The sequence below is a fragment of the Homo sapiens genome, chromosome 2 (genome assembly GCF_000001405.40).
Source record: "Homo sapiens chromosome 2, GRCh38.p14 Primary Assembly".
In the NCBI taxonomy this organism is placed as follows: Eukaryota; Metazoa; Chordata; class Mammalia; order Primates; family Hominidae; genus Homo; species Homo sapiens.
In genome coordinates this window covers 182,776,957-182,798,520 of record NC_000002.12, presented here as the reverse complement: position 1 = coordinate 182,798,520, position 21,564 = coordinate 182,776,957, and the positions used below count along the sequence as shown (strand labels likewise).

The window sequence follows — 21,564 nt, the reverse complement described above, 5'->3', positions numbered from 1 at the left end:
TTCTTCACCACCAAATGTTTCTTCGTGTTCTTTTGTAACTTCTTCCAGCCACTCACTCTTTTCTCATTTCCCACGCAACCACTAATGTGCCTTCCATCACTGTTTTTAGAATTTTATATAAATGAAATGACAAGGTATGTAGCTTTTTTCTTTCAGCATAACTACTTTGAGTCATCTATGTTGTTGCATGTATCAGTGTTTCATTTTTAAATTTTATCTATTTTATGTTATTTTATTTATCAGAGATGGGGTCTCTCTTGGTTGCCCAGGCTGGAGCGTAGTGGTGCGATCACAACTCACTGCAGCCTCAAACTCCTAGGCTCAAGTGATTCTTTCACCTCAGCTTCCAAAGTAGCTAGGACTACAGGTGCACACCATCACACCTGGCTAATTAAAACTTTTTGTTGTTTTTAGAGATGGGGTCTTGCTATGTTGCCCAGGCTTGTCTCAAACTCCTGGACTCAAGTGATCCTCCCACCTTAGTCTCTCAAAGTGCTAGGATTATATGTATGAGCCACTGTGCTCAGCCTCATTCATTTTTATTGAGAAGTATTATTTTGTGTGGATTATTTATCCATTCACCTGTTGATGGACATTTGGGTTGTTTCCATGGCTGTTACATATGAAACCATGAATAGTTACAAGCAAGTCTTTGTATAGACTTATGTACCTTCTAGGTAAATACCTATAAGGAAATGCCTGTATTATATGATAGGTGTATGTTTAACTTACACTGTTAAACTTCTAAAGTGGTTGTACAATTGTGTATTCCAATAGCGTTATATGAGAGTTCCAGATCTTCCGTTTTCTTTTTTCTTTTTTTTTTTTGAGAAGGAGTTTCACTCTTGTCACCCAGGCTGGAGTGCAGTGGCACGATCTTGGCTCACTGCAACCTCCACCTCCCAGGTTCAAGTGATTCTCTTGCCTCAGCCTCCCGAGTAGCTGAGATTACAGGAGCCTGCCACCACGCCCAGGTAATTTTTGTATTTTTAGTAGAGACAGCGTTTTGCCATGTTGGCCAGGCTGGTCTTGAACTCCTGACTTCAGGTGATCCACTCGCCTTGGCCTCCCAAAGTGCTGGGATTACAGGCATGAGCCACCATACCTGGCCAGATCTTCCATTTTCTAGCCAATATTTACAATGGCCTATCTTTAATTATAATGATTCTAGCAATTGTGTAGTAGTATCTTATTATGGTTGTAACTTGCATTTCCCTAATGACTAATTATCTTGAGCGTACTTTATGTGTTTATTGTCTGTACTTTCTTTGGTGGTGTCTTTTCAAAGATGTTTTTGATATTGATATTTTAAAATGTTTCTCAATTTAGGGTTCTCTGATGTTCCCTCTTTATTAGATTCAGGTTATACACACCCAGCTGGAATACCATAAAAGTAATATTTCCTTCTCAGGACATTATATCTGGAGATACACTTTATCCCTTTGCTCCCCATTGGTAATACGATCACCTGGTTGAGGTGTAATCATCCTTCTACTCTATAGTTACTCTTTTCCCCCTTGTAACTAATAAAGTCTGTGGAGAGACACTTTGAGACCACAGAAATGCTTCCGCTCCTTATTGAATTTCCCCAATTTAGCATCCTTTTTTTTTGGATTACTTTTTTTCTGAACCAATTTTTGCTAGTATCATCACAAAATGTTGATTTTTTAAAAAAAATAACTCCAGCACTCCTTCATTTATCAGTTTACATGGTGCTATAAGGAAGAGCCTTTGTTGGCTTCTCTGTCTTTCCTTCCCTCCCCTTTTATGCCCCCCTCCCTTTCTCATTCTATCATCAGTATGGCCTCAGGGACTCCTATTTTATTCAATGGGTTATAATTTATTACTGACCTTGTATTGATGTCTGAGATTTGGACAGAGGATGTCCCTTCAAGCTGCCTTGTGTGTCCTTATGACATAGGTATTTTAGTTTTTGAGTGGATCCTTACTTTCTGTCATAAAAAGATGTTGTAGCCCCACCTGTACCTTTTCTATGGCAGTCCTGAAATCAGTAATTTTTCCAACCAAGGAATGAAATTTAGAAGCTAAGATCTGGACATTACATGCTGAGGTTTTCTGCTGAGGTGTAATTGCTTTTAGACCTTTTAAGCAGATAGAGCTACAAAACGTATCTATCCAGTGGTGAGCTGGAAAAGTTTAACAACTAGGTCTGGGGGAAGGGGCCAGAAGACCTAATTTCTAGTATTTGCCAATTTCCATGGTGTAAGTACTGGCTGGTTTCAAGCTACTAATGTGAGGTCACTAAATGCAGATTTGGGAAAAGATGCATAATTGTGTCTAATGAGCCAATAGGACTAAGCTCCAGCATACCACCATGTCTACCCATCCATCCATGCACACACCTACCTTCCCTGTTGGCTTACGCCTCCAATTTCAATCCAACTCCACTTTCTTGACTTTATTCTTTCTGCATTTGAACTTCTTTTCCCCCATAATGAGAATCCCAGCTCTCAACAACATCAACATATTAACTCATTTGCTCAGTTCCATGGTATACAGGGAATTTAGGAACTGCTACACCCATATCATAATTAAAAAAAAAAACTACGAAAAAGAGTTCAAGATTTATTTGCATTTTCCCTAGACTGCACACATACAGTCAAATTAATTTTTCATAGTTCCATGGATGAGTTTCCCTTTTCCCTTCAGTTATGTTTCATTTGAAATAAAATTGAGTTCATTTCTATTTGTTTGCATTCAGTTTCAGAGCTTTTTTCGCATTTTTGTTGACTTTATTTTTTGAGTATGTAGAACATTAATGTGATTCCGATAGTACAAAAAGGTGTATTTGGATGAGTGTTGCTCTCTCCTTTATTCTTTTACCCCATCCTACCATACCCTTGTAGTCTCCAATTTTGTTAATTTCTCATTTATCCTTCATGTGTTTCTTTTTACAAAAAGAGGTGCCATACTAGATATTCTTTTGAAGTTTGTATTGTTAATAACACATCCTAGAAATCACTCCATATCAGTTTATATAGCTCTCTCTTAAAAAATGAAAAAATTCACACCTAGTATTCTATTGAGTATATATACTATAATTTATAAAACTCATCTCCTATTTATAAACATTTAGGTTGTTTATAGTATTTTTAAATTACAAATAATGCCACAATGAAGAGTTTCGTATATATGTATTTTCAAATTGTTGAGGTATATCTTCCGTGTAGGTTCTTAAAAATAGGATTGCTAGGCAAGGGATAAATGCAGAAGTAGTTTTGTTGTTTCCTGAGACAGGCATTTTTACTAATTTTTCATTTTTTAGTATTTAACATGTTTATAGTACTTTAAGAATATATTAATTTAGATATTGGCATTTGATTTATTATTATGATAGGCGAGGATTTAGCACACTACACTTTTTCTCTTCTTCCTTACCTCTTCCTTCCCAATATAGTTTTATCACTGCTCTCCAAGTGTTGGGGGGAAAGAATTTTAGCTCCCCAATTCCCCCTACCCTCCTCCCCAATAAATGCAAATAATATCCTTGCAATGCCAACACAGCTTTAAAAAAATTCCCCTCACCTTGACTTTGACCGGATGGCCCTTCCATACTCTAGAGCTGCTGCTGCCAGTTTAACATCTATACTGGTTAATTTCATACATTCAAACACCTTACTTCATTTTCTTATCCATCTGCTGTAGCAATGTCACAAACTGGAAACCCCAGGCTGGATATGGTATTGTTTGACCCTCATATATTTAAATGTTTTAAGTAGTTGTGAACATTTGAAATATTTTACATAAAAACCCGGATTGGGGTAAATTCTGGGTAAACTGGAACATCTGGGTCTCTTTCTTCATGACAATACTCTTTTGGAGCAGAGAAACTACTGCCTTTTTAAAATAGTGCATGCACTAACTACCGTCATGTACTTTACCTACAAAACACCCTTAACTATGTGAGTTTGCAATGCCTGACTACAGCCTCACTTCACTCTGGAAGATAAGGACATTCGTACTTCTACCCGTCCTTAACCTGGGTCAGTGTATATAATTATTTTTATGTTGTTAAGCTGAAAATTGGTGACACAATTTGCATTTTTGTGACAAGTTTATTTCACTTCTACATGTTATAAAAAAACATAGCTCACTGCAAAGACAAACAGTAGAATCAAATCTAGAATGACATTTCTTACTCTGTAAGTTTAATGTGGTCATCATGCAAAGGAGAGAATCTGAATGGATTATTTCTATCCTTCATCTATTGTTTCCTATGTACTCAAATTTTTCTGAGGTCCGCAAATACGCATCTGACTTATTGCCTCATTCTTTCTCCTCAGAGACTTCTTTCCCAAGCTCTCTGCTCTCTCGCCCCATCTGCCCCAGGTGATGTTTAGGCCTCCTACTTAGCTGCTGTCCTGTGGATTTGTTCACTGCTCTCTTGGGTTGGAGTCACTGTTTCTTGGATCCCCATGCATTGTTGTTTATGCCTTCATTTGGAGGAGGTGTTTCATCACCTAACCACCTAAAAATATATTTATCATCTGCCTGCTACTTGTTAGTCTGGGTAGGTATGAATAGAATCCTAGGTTAAAAATATTTTCCTCTCAGAATTTGGAAGGCTTTGCTCCAAAGTCTTCTAGAATACTTCAAGCTCCAATTACTTTCTAATTGTTATTTTTTTGTAGGTAGTGTGTGTGTGTGTGTGTGTGTGTGTGTGTGTGTGTGTGTGTGTGATGTGTTTCCTCTCTGGAAAATTTTAGGATTGCTAAATTAAATAAGCAAGAGGACCTTGGCCTGAGGCTGTCTCCAGACTTTGAGTTCCCATGTAATAAATTGCAACCTAATTTAGTACTTAAATAAACTGAAACCTAATTTAGGATTATATAGATATATTTTTGTAACAGATAGGTCACAGCCAATTGCATGCTGCCAACTTGCCTTATTTGGAGCAGACCATGTCCAAATAAGGCAAATGCCTATCTGTAACCAATCAAGCTATTTCTGTACTTAATTTTTGTTTTCTGTCTATGAATGTTCACTGCATACCTCGCAAAGCAGAGCTCTCTGAATGTCTTCTGGTTCTCAGTGCTGCCTGATGGATGAATTGTTCTTCACTCAAATAAAATGTTAAATATATTTTGCTGAAAGTTTCTCTTTTACCAGGATCTTCTTTTTGGTTCTGGAATTTCACAATTTCACTGTGAGTAGAAGTTGAAGTCCTTACAAAAGTTAGAAAGCTAAAGTCCTTACAAGTGACCTGCAAAGCCCTCTATGATCTGGCTCCCCACTTTCTCTCTCCCTCTAACTTCATCTTCTCTCCTGCTAGCTCACTCCATTCCAGCCACATGAGCCTCCCTGCTGTTCCTTGAACCTGCCAAGCATGCCTTGGAGCCTGTCCTCTGGCCTTTCTCTCTGTTCATATGCTCTACCCTCAGCCCATTTAGTGGCTACATTTTTTCCACCTCCTTCAATGGCATCTTCTCCAAGAGACCTGCCCTGTCCACCCTATTTAATACCGAAACTCTCCTGCTGCTGCCCCCACACTCCTAATCCCTCATACCCTGGTCTACCTTTTTCTTTATTTCACAGCACATCTTCTAACATACTTCTAACATACTTAACATTTGCTTATATTAATTGTTTATTGTCTATCTCCCCACTGCGAGAATAGAATCTTCATGAGGTCAATACATTTAATACACTATCTTAAATGCATAGAACAAAGCCTAGCACATTGTAAGTACTCAAATAAATGTTTGCTGAGTGACATGGGGCTCATGTTGAGCTCATGTAACTTCCTCATAAATGATTTCTATTCAGGAAGGCCAAAGGAAAGATGACAAGGAGGATTACGATGTTCCATTAGCGGAAGAATTGAGTCTAACTTCACACACTTCTCTTGCAGATAAACTGGTTTGAGGTTATAGGCCTCTAATTTATCAAGAAAGAAACTGGCATGCATTTAGATGGACTGCTTAAGCCAATAGGTCTGTAATCTGTGGGGAGCAAAGAGGTGTTCTTTCAAACAATGAGAGGTTAAACAATACATTTATCAGATGGGACTTTTGTGAACATTGAGGGACAAAACAGGAAGCTGAAAAGGAAACCAATCAATTCTACCAGGGTTTATAACAGCTGTAATGAAAAGCCTTGGGGAAGGAAAGAAATTGGAATATATCCTCTTCATTATTTTTTGTACCTCAAAATGTTATCCTGTTCCACAACCCTCAAAACCCCTCACAAAGATAACCAACTACTGTAATCCTCATTTAATAAACATAGACTTCAGATAGTGCATTTAATTCTAATGAAACTTGTGCAAGATTATAGCATGGAGATAAAAAAATAATTGTTCACTGATGGTATGCAAGCATTTGTGAGGATTACTTATAAATTGACTTGAGCATCTCTTTTTTCTTTAATTTACTCTTTGAACATGTATTGAGTGTCAAGATGATGGCATGAAAAGTGAACAAGATTGTGTCCTGGCTTTGAAAGTTCATGCACTCTAGGACAGGGAAACATACTAATCAACAGGACTGAACTTATAAGGTGTTTCAGGATCCAATTCTCTGATTCTCTAGATTATTGCATTGTTTAGAGTTAAATTTAAAATGTGTATCTTCAATATGTTGTAAAATGCAAAACATAACTTTTAAACGCTTTAAACATCCATTGTTGAAATGTAAGATGCAATTTAGATTTTTTAGTATCTATTTCCATATTGCAATTAATTAAACGATAACTGCAAATCTTATCATGTATTAGAAACATGTGACTGAAATGACTAAACTCCTGTTTTTGAGGTGTCTTATCCACATTAGAGTGTTATAAAATGTTGTATACAGTTTGTATGCCCAAATACTGGATTTATTAAACAGAAAATAAATGAGAGGTAGAATAAAGTAGTCATTGTTGGAGCCAGGTTTCACTTGTCAAGAAAGAGTTCACAGAGGCCAGTTTGAAGAATATCTTGAAACTCATTAAACTGAAAAAGTTTTGACCAATATTTTGCTAACAACTATATAATCATTATGGACAGAGCTACTTTCCCCAGCATAGTTTCAGAAACACACGTTGACTTCTAGCTGGGCTGAAGTTTTAAAGTTTAAGATGTTTATATACTTTTAAAATTTCATTTTAGAGTAACCCATTTTATACTAATTTGGCCAGAATAGTATTCAAAAATATTGTGTATAAATGGCCACCTGAATACATATCTCTCTTAATTTTTAACTTTTGAGGCTGGGTGAGTTTCTATGTTAAGGTTTATTCACACCAAGGCATACTAGTTTTTGTTGCCAACTAGTTATGATTCAGGAGGACTGAAAACTAAGCTCTAGAGTTACTTTAATTGGAGAATTACTGCTTGGATTTAAATTTTATGGCTTGATCTCATAATGAATGAATTGCCCTACTTCTGAGGGAACACATTTCATGCAGGGTCGATCTCTGTGGGGGTATTTATCCACTAAATTTATGTAGTGAATATTTTATCCCAAATGAAGAAATTAAAAAAATATTTACTTGAAAATAAGTCATAACATTTAAATATCAAAATAGTGAACAAAGAGAGAAGGAGCATAGACAGTTGAACAGGAGGGTAAAAGAGAATATGGTTACTTGGAAGAAATAAGAGAATAAAGCAAAGGAAAAGTCAGAAAATAAGTCAGCTTAGTAGGCAATGTAACTGATAAGTAAGGTTATTTGATTTTAGTGTTAGAAGGCATAATTATTACTATTGTAATTTTTTTTTTTTTTTTTGAGATAGAGTTTCACTCTTGTTGCCCAGGCTGGAGTACAGTGACGTGACCTCAGCTCACTGTAACCTCTGCCTCCCGGGTTCAAGCGATTTTCCTGTCTCAGACTCCCAAGTAGCTGGGATTACAGGCGTGCACCACCACGCCTGGCCATTTTTTTTTGTATTTTTAGTAGAGACGGCGTTTCACCATGTTGGCCAGGCTGGTCTTGAACTCTTAACCTCAAGGGATCCACCCGCCTCGGCCTCCCAAAGCGCTGGGATTTCAGGTGTGAGCCACTGTGCCTGGCCCTTACTATTGAATTTTAGAAAAGGGAAAAGGTGCTTCATTAGATATTCGCTTTTACATCTGACATTTTATATAGCAGGTTTAAACACATTTAAGTATTGTTCAGTTCTGTAAGACCAAGGTATTAGATTTGCAGTTTTCTCAAGTTTCACATGCAGAAAGTCATGTAAACTAAACGAATAAGCTAGAAGCATTTAGCACCCAAAGTACTTCAGCAAATCTTGAAGTTTATAAGTATAAAATAAATTTCTTCTGCTCTTGAAGACCTAACAATCTAGTTTGGAAGATAACATATGGAATAATCAGAGAATAATATAGGACTAAATAAAGCTTTTTCTTATAAACAAATACTTAGTTTTGTGGTAGACAATGAGGAACTTTTAGAAATTCAGAAATCAATGTGAAGTAAAGAAGTCAGCAAAGGCTTTACAGTGGAAGTTGGATTTGGGATTTAAGTTAGATTTTGGGTTTACAGGATGAGGTGAAGGATGAAAAGGGCATCCAAATGGGAAAGTAATACAAAGCATGGTATGAGAATGTAAAATAACCAACTTCCCACAAAGTACTTTGATATGGAAAAAGTAATAATTTAAAGACTCTAAAAGTACAAATCAAAACTCCAATGGGATATGAACGCACACTCATTGGGATACCTACTATTTAAAAAAAATGAGTGTTGGTGAGGATGTGGAAAAATCAGAACTCTTGTGCACTATTGGTGGGAATGTAAAATGGTGCAGCTGCTATGAAAAACAGTATGGAGGTCCCCCCATATTAAAAATAGAATTACTATGATATAGACTTACACTTCTAGGTATATAGCTGAAAGAACTGAAAGCAGGGTTTCTGATATTTGTACACCCATGTTTATAGCAGCATTATTTGCAATGGCCAAAGGGTGAAGGCAGCCTATCAACGGACGAATAACAAAATGTAGAATGTATATATAATTGAATATTATTCAGCCTTAAAAAGGAAGAAAATTGGCTGGGTGCGGTGGCTCACGCCTGTAATCCCAGCACTTTGGGAGACCAAGGCAGGCGGATCACCTGAGGTCAAGAGTTCGAGACCAGCCTGGCCAACACACTAAAACCTTGTCTCCGTTAAACATACAAAAATTAGCCAGCGTGGTGGCACATGCCTGCAGTCCCAGCTACTTGGGAGGGTGAGGCAGGAGAATCGCTTGAACCTGGGAGGTGGAGGTTGCAGTGAGCTGAGATCACACCACTGCACTCCAGCCAGGGGGACAGAGTAAGACTCCGTCTCAAAACAAGAAAATTATGACACATGCTACAACATGGGTGAGTCTCGAGGACTTACGCTAAGTAAAATAAGGAATCACAAAAAGATAAATGGTGTATGATTTCACTTACATTAAATATCTATGGTAGTCATATTGATAGAAAGTAGGGTGGTGGTTGTCAGGGTCTAGCAGCATTGGTAAATAAAAAGGTTTTGCTTTATGGATATAAAATTTCAGTTTTGCAAGATAAAGTCACGGAGATGGGTTGAACAATGTGAAATTACTTAACACTACTGAACTGTATGCTACTTTAAAATGATTAATAAATTTTGTTACATGTACTTTATCACAATTTAAAAAACTCTAAAAGGAATCAAGAGTTTTAAAGAAGACACAAAATGACCTTTAACGTGAAATCTCTCTTCCCCAAAAAATCCGTAGACATACTAAGTGATCATAAAGTCATAGAGCTTGAAGTCCATTTTAGAAAACTTCTGAATAGTCTACCTTTCCGTTTTCCCAAGTAGGAACTTCCCTGGATTTCCTCTGAGATAAATAGACGTTACTTGTGCTGTGGGATAAGCTCACTTCCTTTTGTTCTCTGGGACAAAAGAACACAAATATGACCATCACTTACAGACGGACGTATTGCTACAACCAATTGCTAACATTTTTCCTTTTGAGATAAGTACTTAAACTGTCCATCCTTATTTCCAAGATATTTTTCAAATTTTAATACTTTTTATACATTTTGTTTTTACTCCCATTTTCTCCTATTTTTTGGTGGTTTTATAACTTATTTGATGATTTACAGTTCTCATCCACCTTGTCTGTTGATTTCTGCAAGTGGTAACAGGTACATAGGTAACCAAAGTATAAGAGCTCGTTTGGTGAATTTTCATCCTCGCTATGTTTTCTGGACTACTGCTTATGGATAAGACATGGGACATCCTTTATTCGCCTGGCCCCGACAGCTTTGTAGAGGCTGGTATCAACGCGCATTTCCTTTGTGGCACACTTCCGGATCTCTTTGAGTGCTCTGAGGGGTATGCTTCTTGAATCCCACTCCATGGATGGGCTTGTGGACGCTGATGGCATATTCTCGGGTCACCACCTCATTGATGGCAGAACAGCCCTTCTTGCCACCCTTCTCTGTAGGAACCACTCTGCGAGGCTCAAATTGGAAAGGACTCTCATTTATCTTAAATAGTGGCTCTTCAAGTATTTGTTAAACATCTTTCTGAGAGTACAGTAAAATAATATGCCTTAATTTTTCTATGTGAGCATTACTTCAATTTAGAGACACCTAATTCCTAAAATCATTCTTTACCTTTTGTTTTTTGAGACGGGGTCTTCCTCTGCCTCCCAGTCTGGAGTGCAGTGGTGTGATCACGGCTCACTGCAGCCTGGACCTCCTGGGCTCAAGCAGTCCTCCCACCTCAGCCTCCCAAGTAGCTGGGACTACAGGCATACCCTACCACGCCTGGCTAATTTTTGAATTTTCTTGTAGAGAGGAGGTTTCACCAGGTTGTCCAGGCTGGTCTTGAAATCCTGGTCTGCAGGAATCCTTCTGCCTGGGCCTTCCAAAGTGCTGGAGTTACAGGTGTGAGCCACCGCACCTGGCCTCATTCTTTGCCTCTAAGTCTCACTTTCATTCCCATGCCTATTTTGACTAAATTAAATGTCTTCGATTTGTTCAGTTGGTTAGAGGTTAAGACTGCTAACCAAGCATGTGAACTTTCAGTGGTAATCCTGCAAAGACTTAAAGTCTGTGGCTTTGGTAGGCAGTTTTGTCATAATGAATGAACGGTTTGGTAGTACATTACGGGTTTGTATAAACTTCTTGAATAGCAGAGCTTATAAACTATTCAGAATCAAAACACCAGGTAAACAGTGGGAAGAGACAGTAGGCCCACCCTATTTTCTTCCATAATTCCAGAACCTTAAAGCAGCAGAAGCCACAATGACTAGCGGGTGATGTGCACCTTGCTGGAGTCTGAATCAGTATGGGGAGACTGTCAAGCCAGTATAGTTTCCAAAAGAAGTTTAACGCCTATGACTGTGGACCAGCTCCTCTGGCATTCACCTGACCAGTGGAACTGCAAAACTGATTTTTTTCAATATATTGTCTGTCCAGGCTGCTATAACAAAATGAACTGGCTGGCTTAAAAAAACACATTTATTTCTCATAGTTCTGGAGGCTGGGAAGTCCACTATCAAAGTGCTGGCAGATTGAGTGCCTGGTGAGGGCCTTGTTTGTTGGTTTACAGATGGCTCGCTCTCACCGTGTTCTCCCATGGCAGAAGGGACGAGCAAGATACTGGGGTCTCTTTTATAAGTGTACCAATCTCAAAAAGGAGGTCTCTGCCCTCATGACTTAAACCCTTCCCAAAGGCCTCACATTCCTAATACCATTACCTTGGGGGTTAGGATTTCAACATAATTTTAGGGAGAGCAGGAGGGGATATAAACATTCGGACCATAGTAATAATCTCTAAAAATAGTTTTTCATAGATCGGTGTGAAATCTGATGTGTGCTGAGAAATCTGTTGAGAGGGAGGGAGAGAACTTGGCTTTGGCAAGAATGGGGTTTGAAGGACACAAGGGTGGAAGGCTATTCAAAGCTGCGTAGCTGGCAAAAGCTAGGTGCTGCTGGTTGGTCACCTAGGTCTATTCCTTTGGGAACAGGAGGTCACACCTTAGGAAGATGGTGTACCCTGTGCCTTCAGGCAGGTTCAGTTGATCTTCCTTGAAGAAAATGGTGAGACCTCATCAGTCTAGTTTGACTAGACAATCTCTAGTCAATTATTTCCATTTCAGAATTCAGTATTATGACCTCAGTGAAGGGAACAGGATTACAATTTTCCAGTATATTGAGAGCTTGAGGCTCAAAATGGTGAAATGATGCTCAGGCTCCACGCTGAAAGGAAGTAATGAAAAGAAAATGAATTCTACCCATTCTCTTCGAAAGTGGTCCTACTTAGTGCCAACCAATTCCATTTTTATCCTGTAACTTTTCTACCTCTAACAGGTAAACTGATTTCCTGGCAGTTGATTATACACTTGTCATTTGGGGTTCTGTATAAATTTCAATGTTATCTTAGTTGTAAAAACAATATTTTGCGTTTCTGAAATTAAAACTGTTATTAAAACTGTATCATGGAACATTTTCCAGCAAAACAAATATATAATCAACCCATATCTATCCCTTATCAGCTTCAATACTTATGATACAGCCATCCATTTAACAACTACCCAAAGTCCCTGGATTATTATCTCCCCACTTTTTTTTGGTTTCTCTCAGATCCTGGTTACTGGATTATTTTAAAGCAAATGCCAAACATTTTCATTATTAAAAAAAGTCATTAGAATATGCAACAACATCCCCTGCAAACAATTCTTAGTTAATATCAAATTCAAATATTCTGATTTCCCCAACTGTTTCATATATATATGAAATATATCCTACTGTCTCTATAGATCTATGTATATATAAATGTATACAATAGTCTGTTCAAATCAAGATGCAAATATAGCCCACATACTGCATTTGGCTCATGACTGAAAAGCCTCTTTTTCTTTTTCCTTTTAAGCTATACGATACCTTTCTCTGTCTTTTTCATTAAAGAAATCATACCATTTGTCCTACAAAATTTCCCACATTCCCGATTCTTGCCTGCACATTGATTTGTTTTTCTAAACACATTACCTCATCTTATTTATATGACTACCTACTGAAATATTTTTTCCACTTAACAAACGAGTTAATTAGGATAATTAGGATACAGATATGAAGTAAGCAATTTTTCCAAACTCATAGTAAGTACTTGACTACAGGGCGAGAATTCAGTACACCCATTTCTGTGACCAAGAGCTCTTTCTTTTTACCTGAAGACTATGTGTCTTATTTCACAAAGGAGTACTAAAAGCCCCAGAAAACCCTGAGATTTTTGAATTAAAAAAAAAAATTAAGCTATTAGTCCAATTTTATGTTTTATTTATTAGAAGTGATCCATTTATACTGTTACACAGGCACCATTCTTCATGAATGGGAATCTGCTGAGCTCCAATACATGTATGTATCTTTACATGTCTATAGCAGTGTGTGTGCCTGTATGATTTTCTAAATTTATTGTCATACCATTCATACACTTTGAGTATCTGTCCTATTTATTACACTAGATTACAAACTTTTGGATGCGAAATACTTTTAACTTTTCTGCAATTTCTCATAGTCAAACATAACTGACTGATAATTCAGGATATTTTTAGTGAAAACACAAAGGCCAGCTAGACTGTGTGATTCTTATCAAGTACTGAGGTAGAAATGGCATTTTATCAGAAAAATGTGTCTGCTTATTTTTCACTGCCATCTACTGGTACCTGATGTTATTTCTGCTTAAAATCCTTCAGGGAAGCCTATCAGAGGGATTTACACAGAGCAACAAGAAATTATGAAGCCCTAAAAATCCTTTGAGAAAGTTCCTTTCAAAAGAATAGGTGCTACTTTAGCAGGTAGAGCTACCTTAAATTTTACAATAAAAGTTACTAACATCTAAAAGGGTTACTATAATATCAACTACAATGCCTCTAAGCTATAAGGGCTGCAAATTAAACTTATCATTATTTATAATTTTTAAGGCATAAAACAATGAATTTATAATTTCTAGTCAGAAATTCTTATCACAGTAGAGCTCTGGCAAATTAGTTTTAAACACAGTCAACAGTATAATACTTCTGGCTGTTTGTCAATTGAAATACACACTGTGCTTCTACGGGTCAACAATGTGCTAGGTTCTGCCAACACTGCAGGGAATAAGACACATGTGGCTGCTGTCTTCAGAGATGACAATATGGCTGTGTGTGTTTGTGTGGGGAGGTTTCTTAAGTTTATATAAAATACCAACAAAATGATTTTTTTTGTTGTTTTGTTTTTTTTTAGACAGGGTCTTACTCCGTCACCCAGGCTGGAGGGCAGTGGTGTGATCTCTGCTCACTGCAACCTTTGCCTCCGGGTTCATGCAATTCTCCTGTCTCAGCCTCCAGGGTAGATGATTACAGGCACACACCTCCATGCCCAGCTAGTTTTTGTATTTTTAGTAGAGATGGGGTTTCACTATGTTGGCTAGGCTGGTCTTGAACTCCTGGCCTTAAGTGATCCTTCCACTTGGCCTCCCAAAGTGCTGGGATTATGGGCGTGAGCTACTGCACCCAGCCAACAAAATGAATTTTAAAGTTTATTTAATTTCGGTAGTGAAATAGGTTTTCTTTTTGCATCTTGAATTTATTACAAATTAACTTGATAGGATTAATTTATATTAGTTAATTAATACAAATTAACTTTCCAAAGTCTTAACATGAAGATTGAGATTATAGGCCTTTTGATAGATCATGTTATTCATTCTTGAGTTCTTTGGTGATTATTGACAGATGAATTGCTAACATACTAAAAATAACAATATAGTTGATCTTCAAGTAATATACCCAAGTTTTTATAGTAAAACATGAGATACTGCTGTTCCAAGTCTGAAAAATATATATAAACATGTTTAAAATCATTAAACATTTTTTCACTCCTGTCACAAAATAGAAAGTATATTTAAAATATAAAACAAGAAAGCTGGGTTACAGACTGGTAAAGATAAATCTAAGATTTCTCAAAAATAGAGGAAAAATGGAACAGACTTTACCTCATCTTCATAATTTTCATGATAAGAAAGGGAAGATGTTTTGTAAATAAATGATTTTTCCTAAATACATTAAAGCCAACAAATTGTTTCATTTTATTACTTTCAGTTGGCAGTGGCTGCTGAAATATTTTTTTTGTGTGTGTATATGTATTTTTTGCCTTAACGCCATATACTTTATCTAATGACTTGAGAAAGATATTTCAATGCATAGGTGGGACTTTTTGCTAGTTAACTGGCTTCAGAACCATGTTTTAGTTAGCTAATGTTTTACCGCTTGGTAATATAAATAGCCACTTAGAATTCAAGTTTTCTAAGTTTCCAATTTCATATTTTCCAAAAATCAACACTTATTCTTTTAAAGACATTTTACTTCCTCCAAACATTTGAAATAGCAGTTATGACAAAAACATGATTATCTCAATAGATGCAGAAAAGGCCTTCGATAAAATTAACACCCTTTCATGCTAAAAACACTCAAAAAACTAGATATGATGGAACATATCTCAAAATAATAAGAGCTATTTATGACAAAACCACAGCCAATATCATACTGAATGGGCAAAAGCTGCAAGCATTCCCTTTGAAAACCGGCACAAGACAAGGATGCCCTCTCTCACCACTCCTATGTACTGGAAGTTCTGGCCAGGACAATCAGGCAAGAGAAAGAAAGCGTATTCAAACAGGAAGAGAGGAAGTCAAATTATCTCTGTTTGCAGATGACATAATTGTATATTTAGAAAACCCCATCATCTCAGCCCAAAAACTCCTTAAGCTGATAAGCAACTTCAGCAAAGTCTCAGGATACAAAATTAATGTGCAAAAATCACAAGCATTCCTATACACCAATAATTGACAAACAGAGAGCCAAATCGTGAGTGAACTCCCATTCACAATTGCTACAAAGAGAATTAAATACCTAGGAATACAACTTACAAGGGACGTGAAGGACCTCTTCAAGAACTACAAACCACTGCTCAAGGAAATGAGAGAGGACAGAAACAAATGGAAAAAGCATTCCATGCTCATGGATAGGAAGAATTAATATTGTGAAATAGTCATACTGCCCAAAGTAATTTATAGATTCAATGCTATTCCCATCAAGCTACCATTGACTTTCTTCACAGAATTGGAAAAAACTACTTTAAATTTCATATGGAACCAAAAAAAAAAGAGCCCATATAGCCAAGGCAATCCTAAGCAAAAAGAACGAACTATACTACAAGGCTCAGTAACCAAAACAGCATGGTACTGGTACCAAAACAGAGCTATAGACCAATGGAACAGAACACAGCCCTCAGAAATAACGCCACACTTCTACAACCATCTGATCTTTGACAAACCTGACAAAAACAAGCAATGGGGAAAGGATTCCCTATTTAATAAATGATGTTGGGAAAACAGGCTAGCCACATGTAGAAAACTGAAACTGGGACCCCTTCCTTACACCTTATATAAAAATTAAGTTGATAGATTAAAGACTTAAATGTAAGGTCTGAAACCATAAAAAACCTAGAAGAAAACCTAGGCAACACCATTCAGGACATAGGCATGGGCAAAGACTTCATGACTAGAACACCAAAAGCAATGGCAATAAAAGCCAAAACAGATAAATGGGATCTAATTAAAGAGCTTCTGCATGGCAAAAGAAACTATGATCAGAGTGAACAGGCAACCTACAGAATGGGAGAAACTTTTTGCAATCTATCCATCTGACAAAGGGCTAATATCCAGAATCTACAAGGAACTTAAATTTACAAGAAAAAAATCCCATTAAAAGTGGGCAAAGGATATGAACAGACACTTCTCAAAAGAAGACATTTAGGTGGCCAACAAAGATATGAAAAAAAGCTCATCATCAGTGGTCATTAGAGAAATGCAAATCAAAAACACAATGAGATACCATGTCACATCAGTTAGAATGGCGATCATTAAAAAGTGAGGAAACAACAGATGCTGGAGAGGATGTGGAGAAATAGGAATGCTTTTACACTGTTAGTGGGAGTGTAAATTTGTTCAACCATTGTGGAAGACAGTGTGGCGATTCCTCAAGGATCTAGAAATAGAAATACCATTTGACCCAGCAATCCCGTTACTGGGTATATACCTAAAGGATTATAAATAATTTTACTATAAAGACACATGCACACGTATGTTTATTGGAGCACTATTCACAATAGGAAACACTTGGAACCAACCAAAATGCCCATCAATGTTAGACTGGATAAAGAAACGGGCACAAACACACCATGGAATACTATGCAGCCATAAAAAAGGATGCGTTCATGTCCTTTGCAGGGACAGGGATGAAGCCGGAAACCATTATTCTCAGCAAACTAACAGGAACAGAAAACCAAACACCACATGTTGTCACTCGTAAGTGGGAGTTGAACAATGAGAACATATGGACACAGGGAGGGGAACATCAACAATGGGGCCTGTCGGCGGGGTAGGGGGCAAGGGGAAGGACAACATTAGAAGAAATAGCTAATGTAGATGACAGGTTGATGGGTGCAGCAAACCACCATGGCACATGTATACCTATGTAACAAACCTGCATGTTCTGCACATGTATTGCAGAACTTGAAGTATTAAAAAAAAAAAACAGCAGTTGCTTAATGAAGATTGTCTATCAGTTATTAACACAGACCTTTTTGGGGATGATTGCTAACTTTCAGGACCAAAGGCCACTAGGTGATGCACTCAAATGACTACTTAATGCAATCAAGTGGTTGAAAGATGCATTTCTGGAGTCCATACTGATGTAGACCAGTTTGGCGTTGAGACTTTGGCTGTATTTTTGGCTAGTTTCCATTCACAAAATATACCTAGCTGTTTACAAGGGGACTCAGTGACAGTACAAGAATCTAAGTGTAAATTCAGTGTTAAACAGAAAAATGACTCAAGCCAGTGAAACACATTTTTGTGTATGATTAGTAATTTATACTCAGCTTGGTCATTGGCCTAAATTTTGTAATTCTTACTGAAAAGAAACTGTATTAGTCTGTTTTGCATTGCAATGAAGGAATACCTGGGACTGGTTACCTTATAAAGAAAACGTTTATTTGACTTGCAGTTCTGCAGGCTGTAAAAACATGGCACCAGCATCTGCTCAGCTTCTGGTGAGGTCTCAGGGAGCTTTTACTCATGGCAGAAGGCACGGGGGGAGAAGGCATGTCACACAGAGAAGGAGCGAGAAAGAGAGGAGGTGGTGGTGCCAAGTTCCTTTTAACAACCAGCTCTTGCAGGAATAAACACAGCAGGAACTCATTACCACTGGGGAAGGCACAAAGCCATTTATGAGGGATCAGCCCCCATCACCCAAACACCTCCCACCAGGCCCCATATCCAACACTGGGGATCATATTTCAACATGAGATTTGGAGGGGACAAATACTCAAACCATATTACAAACTTCTTCACTAGAAGAATTTGGGTATATGTAAGTAAGTTTTCAGTATATGTGTAAAGTAGAATATTATCAGAAAGGTTATTTACTTTTCATCTTCATTATCAATTTTCTATAGGTATCATAAAAATTTAAAATGCATTTTGTTAATTTAATCTTTTATTATTTCTTAACAGTCACAATGGAATAAATGTGCCTACTTTAAGACATCTATCTGGTTTTGTTGGCAGATTTAAGGACTAACACTAGACTAAATATTACACAAATATTCTATTCAAATGACTTAAAAGTGCTACCCTTTTACTAAAAATTTTATCGTACTAAACATCTTTGAAATGTGTGTCCCATAGGAAATGTGTTTTTTTGATAACCGTACTTCTAAAAAAATTCCCACTTTGAGCACTGTCAGAAAACAGAGCAAATTTAAAGAAAATTTTGAGAATATAAAATTACATAAACATTTCATTTTACTTTTCCTTTATCTTAATCATATACCTTTAAATAAAAAAGCTATGAAAGACCTAAATAAAATTTGAGAAATCAGAATAGACAAACATCATTAATGCCCAAAACATAATTTATTTATTAGAGATGGGGTCTTGCTATGTTGCCCAGGCTGGATTCAAAATCCTGAGCCCAAGCAATCCCTCCTGCCTCAGCCTCTCAAGTAGATGGGACAATAGGCGCACACCACCATACCTGACTGTAAGCCACATACTTTAAATGGACCTAATTTCCAAGCCTGGCTGCCTGATAGAATGTGCTTTGGTCAGCTAGAATTGATACCATGTTAGAGGGTCAGCTGCACACAAAAATGGTGTTGCTGAGAGAAATGGCACATTATACCTGGTACTCCTTAGAGGTGCTCTATCTACTGTATCAATATAGCCATTAAAAGCTCAATCTGCCAGCTGTTTTTGAAAGACCCAATAATACTGTTATGACTATATAAGATAACCTTGATGTATGTCACTTTATGATACGTGTTTCTTAACATGACTCCCAGGGGGCCCTGGCTTAGAGCTGATTCCAAAGGCACACAGCTTAGGTCAAATTATAGGACACATAATATTTACTATTTTATTTACTGCCTAAAATGTTTCTCAACAACTAACAAGTACAGGAAACATTTATAGGTAGTAATGTAAGTACCTTATGAGCTCAATGACAAAACAGTGAATTACAGACAGTTGGAAGATGGGGACCATGTCTTAGATTCCTTTTGAACACTCCTCAGTGTCCAGTGTGGTGATATGCACATAACCAGTATATTTTAGTAAGTATTTACCCAAGTAAGACTTCTTTAGGCATTCCATTTTGGGATTCTTGTAGAAAGAAGCCAATTTTGTAGAACTCCTAGGCTTTAAACATTCGAGAATGAAAGGCTCTTGCCATTACTGATCATAATTCAAAAAGCTGGTGTTAAGTGTGACAAGTGGTGACTGTTCCATATATGCCAACAGGCATACAGCAGAATCCAGACAGAGTATATAGTAGCGAAAAAGATGGGAGAATATGAAGAACAAAGTCTATTTTAACATTAATTATGGCTATAATAACCCTTATGAGGAAATACTGGTGAGCAGGATAAAGTGATATTGAAAAGAAAAAAAGGAAAACTCCTCAAAACACAATAAAGCATATTCTAACAGGTTTTTGAAAAAGTTGCAAGCCTTTTAATTCATTGACCTCTTTTGACTGATTGGAATTTTTACCATTCTGTACACTCTGAATTATAACTAAACAACTACATGTTACTGACAAATTTGTGATTCTTTGAGTCTAAACAACACAGAAACTAGAAGATCCCTTTCCTAGATTTATATACTTGATTTTCTTATAAAAATAACTTCAGTTATTATGTCAATATTTATCTGAAAAAGGCAGCCCTCTGACAGTAAACTAGTAACTGGAATAACTACAGTATCATTATAAGCTACAGTAAAACAACCTGTAAAGTAATTTTTCCTATTTGAATAATAAATAGACTGGACAGGAGTGAAAAACCAAAACTACGAAAGAAAAACCCAATGTAAATAAAGGATACAGGTCAAAACAAAGTTCAGAAGGCAAATATGTAAATATTAGATGCCTCAAAAATCAACTATCAGTGGGAAAATTTCTATGAAAGCAATTTCAGAAAATACATGAACACATATATCTTTAAAATATAGAACTCTAAATACTTGATAACATATTTAGGATACTCTACAATGCCCAGTTAATTGCTATAATTTTTTTCCCTCAGGTTTTCCTGGATGATACGGCAAACTACAGAATTTGTGCACTTACTGTTGCTCAAATTTGTGTACTTACTGTGTGCACATATACTGCTGCACTGTTTCTCGGCTGTGAAAAATTAAAAGCATTTTTTCAACCTTTGAGAAGGAAAGAAAACAATGAAGAATCTCCTCATAATAATACAGCATAACAGGGTTTGTTTACTGTGCCACATCATGGGTGTTTTTAAAACGAAATATAAATATATGGTTAGGGATAGCATTTTTAGGAGAACAAGTGACCAAAAACTAAGTTACCTCTTTTCAGGTCAGCCAAAAAACGTGAAGGGAAAGTGGACTTTATACAACTTAGACATTTATGTAGATAGCACAGCAGACTCATGTTCAAGCCAGCCACCTGAAACATTATAAGTCCGTCGAGGGGGACAGCAATCTATGGTCCATGGACTGAATCCAGCCTACTTTTGTATGGCTCTGAGCTAAGAATCGTTTTAATATTTTTTAAAGGTTGTTAAAAGCAAATAACAAAGAATACATGATGACTCTATTCTTGTTCTCATGTGTGAACCATATATTATAGCCTGCAAAGTCTAAAATATTTATAAACCGGCCCTTTACAGAAAAAGTTTGCAGACCCTTCTTTTACACCAGTGCTGTAGATAATTCTGGCAGTACAACTGCAAGTCTAAGATAATGTTCATTCATTCCCATCATAAATGTAACATTCTAAATAGGTGTCTTCTGATGTCATCTGTCAGAATTTCTTTTAAACTTTTTCTTCATCTTCAACATTATCAAAGTTCATCCTATAATAATAATGTAAAGGCGATAGAGAAAGGAGAAAGTATGAGTTGGTAATGTTAAAAATAAGGTGAAATACCACAAACCAACATTTTACTTTTTCAGAAATACTCAATATTCTTATTTAATGGATCATGACATGAAATATACTTTGCCAAAATATAACAAT

General features: G+C 36.8%; 1 protein-coding gene and 1 pseudogene across 5 annotated transcripts in view, besides 1 other annotated feature; both read right to left on the bottom strand.

Annotated features, from left to right (window-relative positions):
• Positions 1–4,056: 4,056 nt before the first annotated feature.
• DNAJC10 (DnaJ heat shock protein family (Hsp40) member C10) overlaps positions 4,057–21,564 on the bottom strand; it is a 78,208-nt gene continuing 60,700 nt past the window's right edge. For all 5 annotated transcript variants that reach the window (NR_073366.2, NR_073365.2, NR_073367.2 and 2 more), the window contains one exon: positions 4,057–21,400. Coding sequence is in view for 2 of the 5 variants with exons in the window: in NM_018981.4 (NP_061854.1) it covers positions 21,389–21,400 (12 nt within the window). In the remaining 3 variants the exon portion in view is untranslated. The remainder of the gene's footprint in view (positions 21,401–21,564) is intronic.
• Positions 5,763–5,963: a silencer, noted in NCBI's record as "peak3967 fragment used in MPRA reporter construct". NCBI's record gives its function as "represses an SCP1 promoter by STARR-seq MPRAs in K562 erythroleukemia cells {active_cell/tissue: K562}" and the evidence as "EXISTENCE:reporter gene assay evidence [ECO:0000049][PMID:32103011]".
• On the bottom strand, positions 10,103–10,448 carry RPL31P15 (ribosomal protein L31 pseudogene 15; annotated as a pseudogene).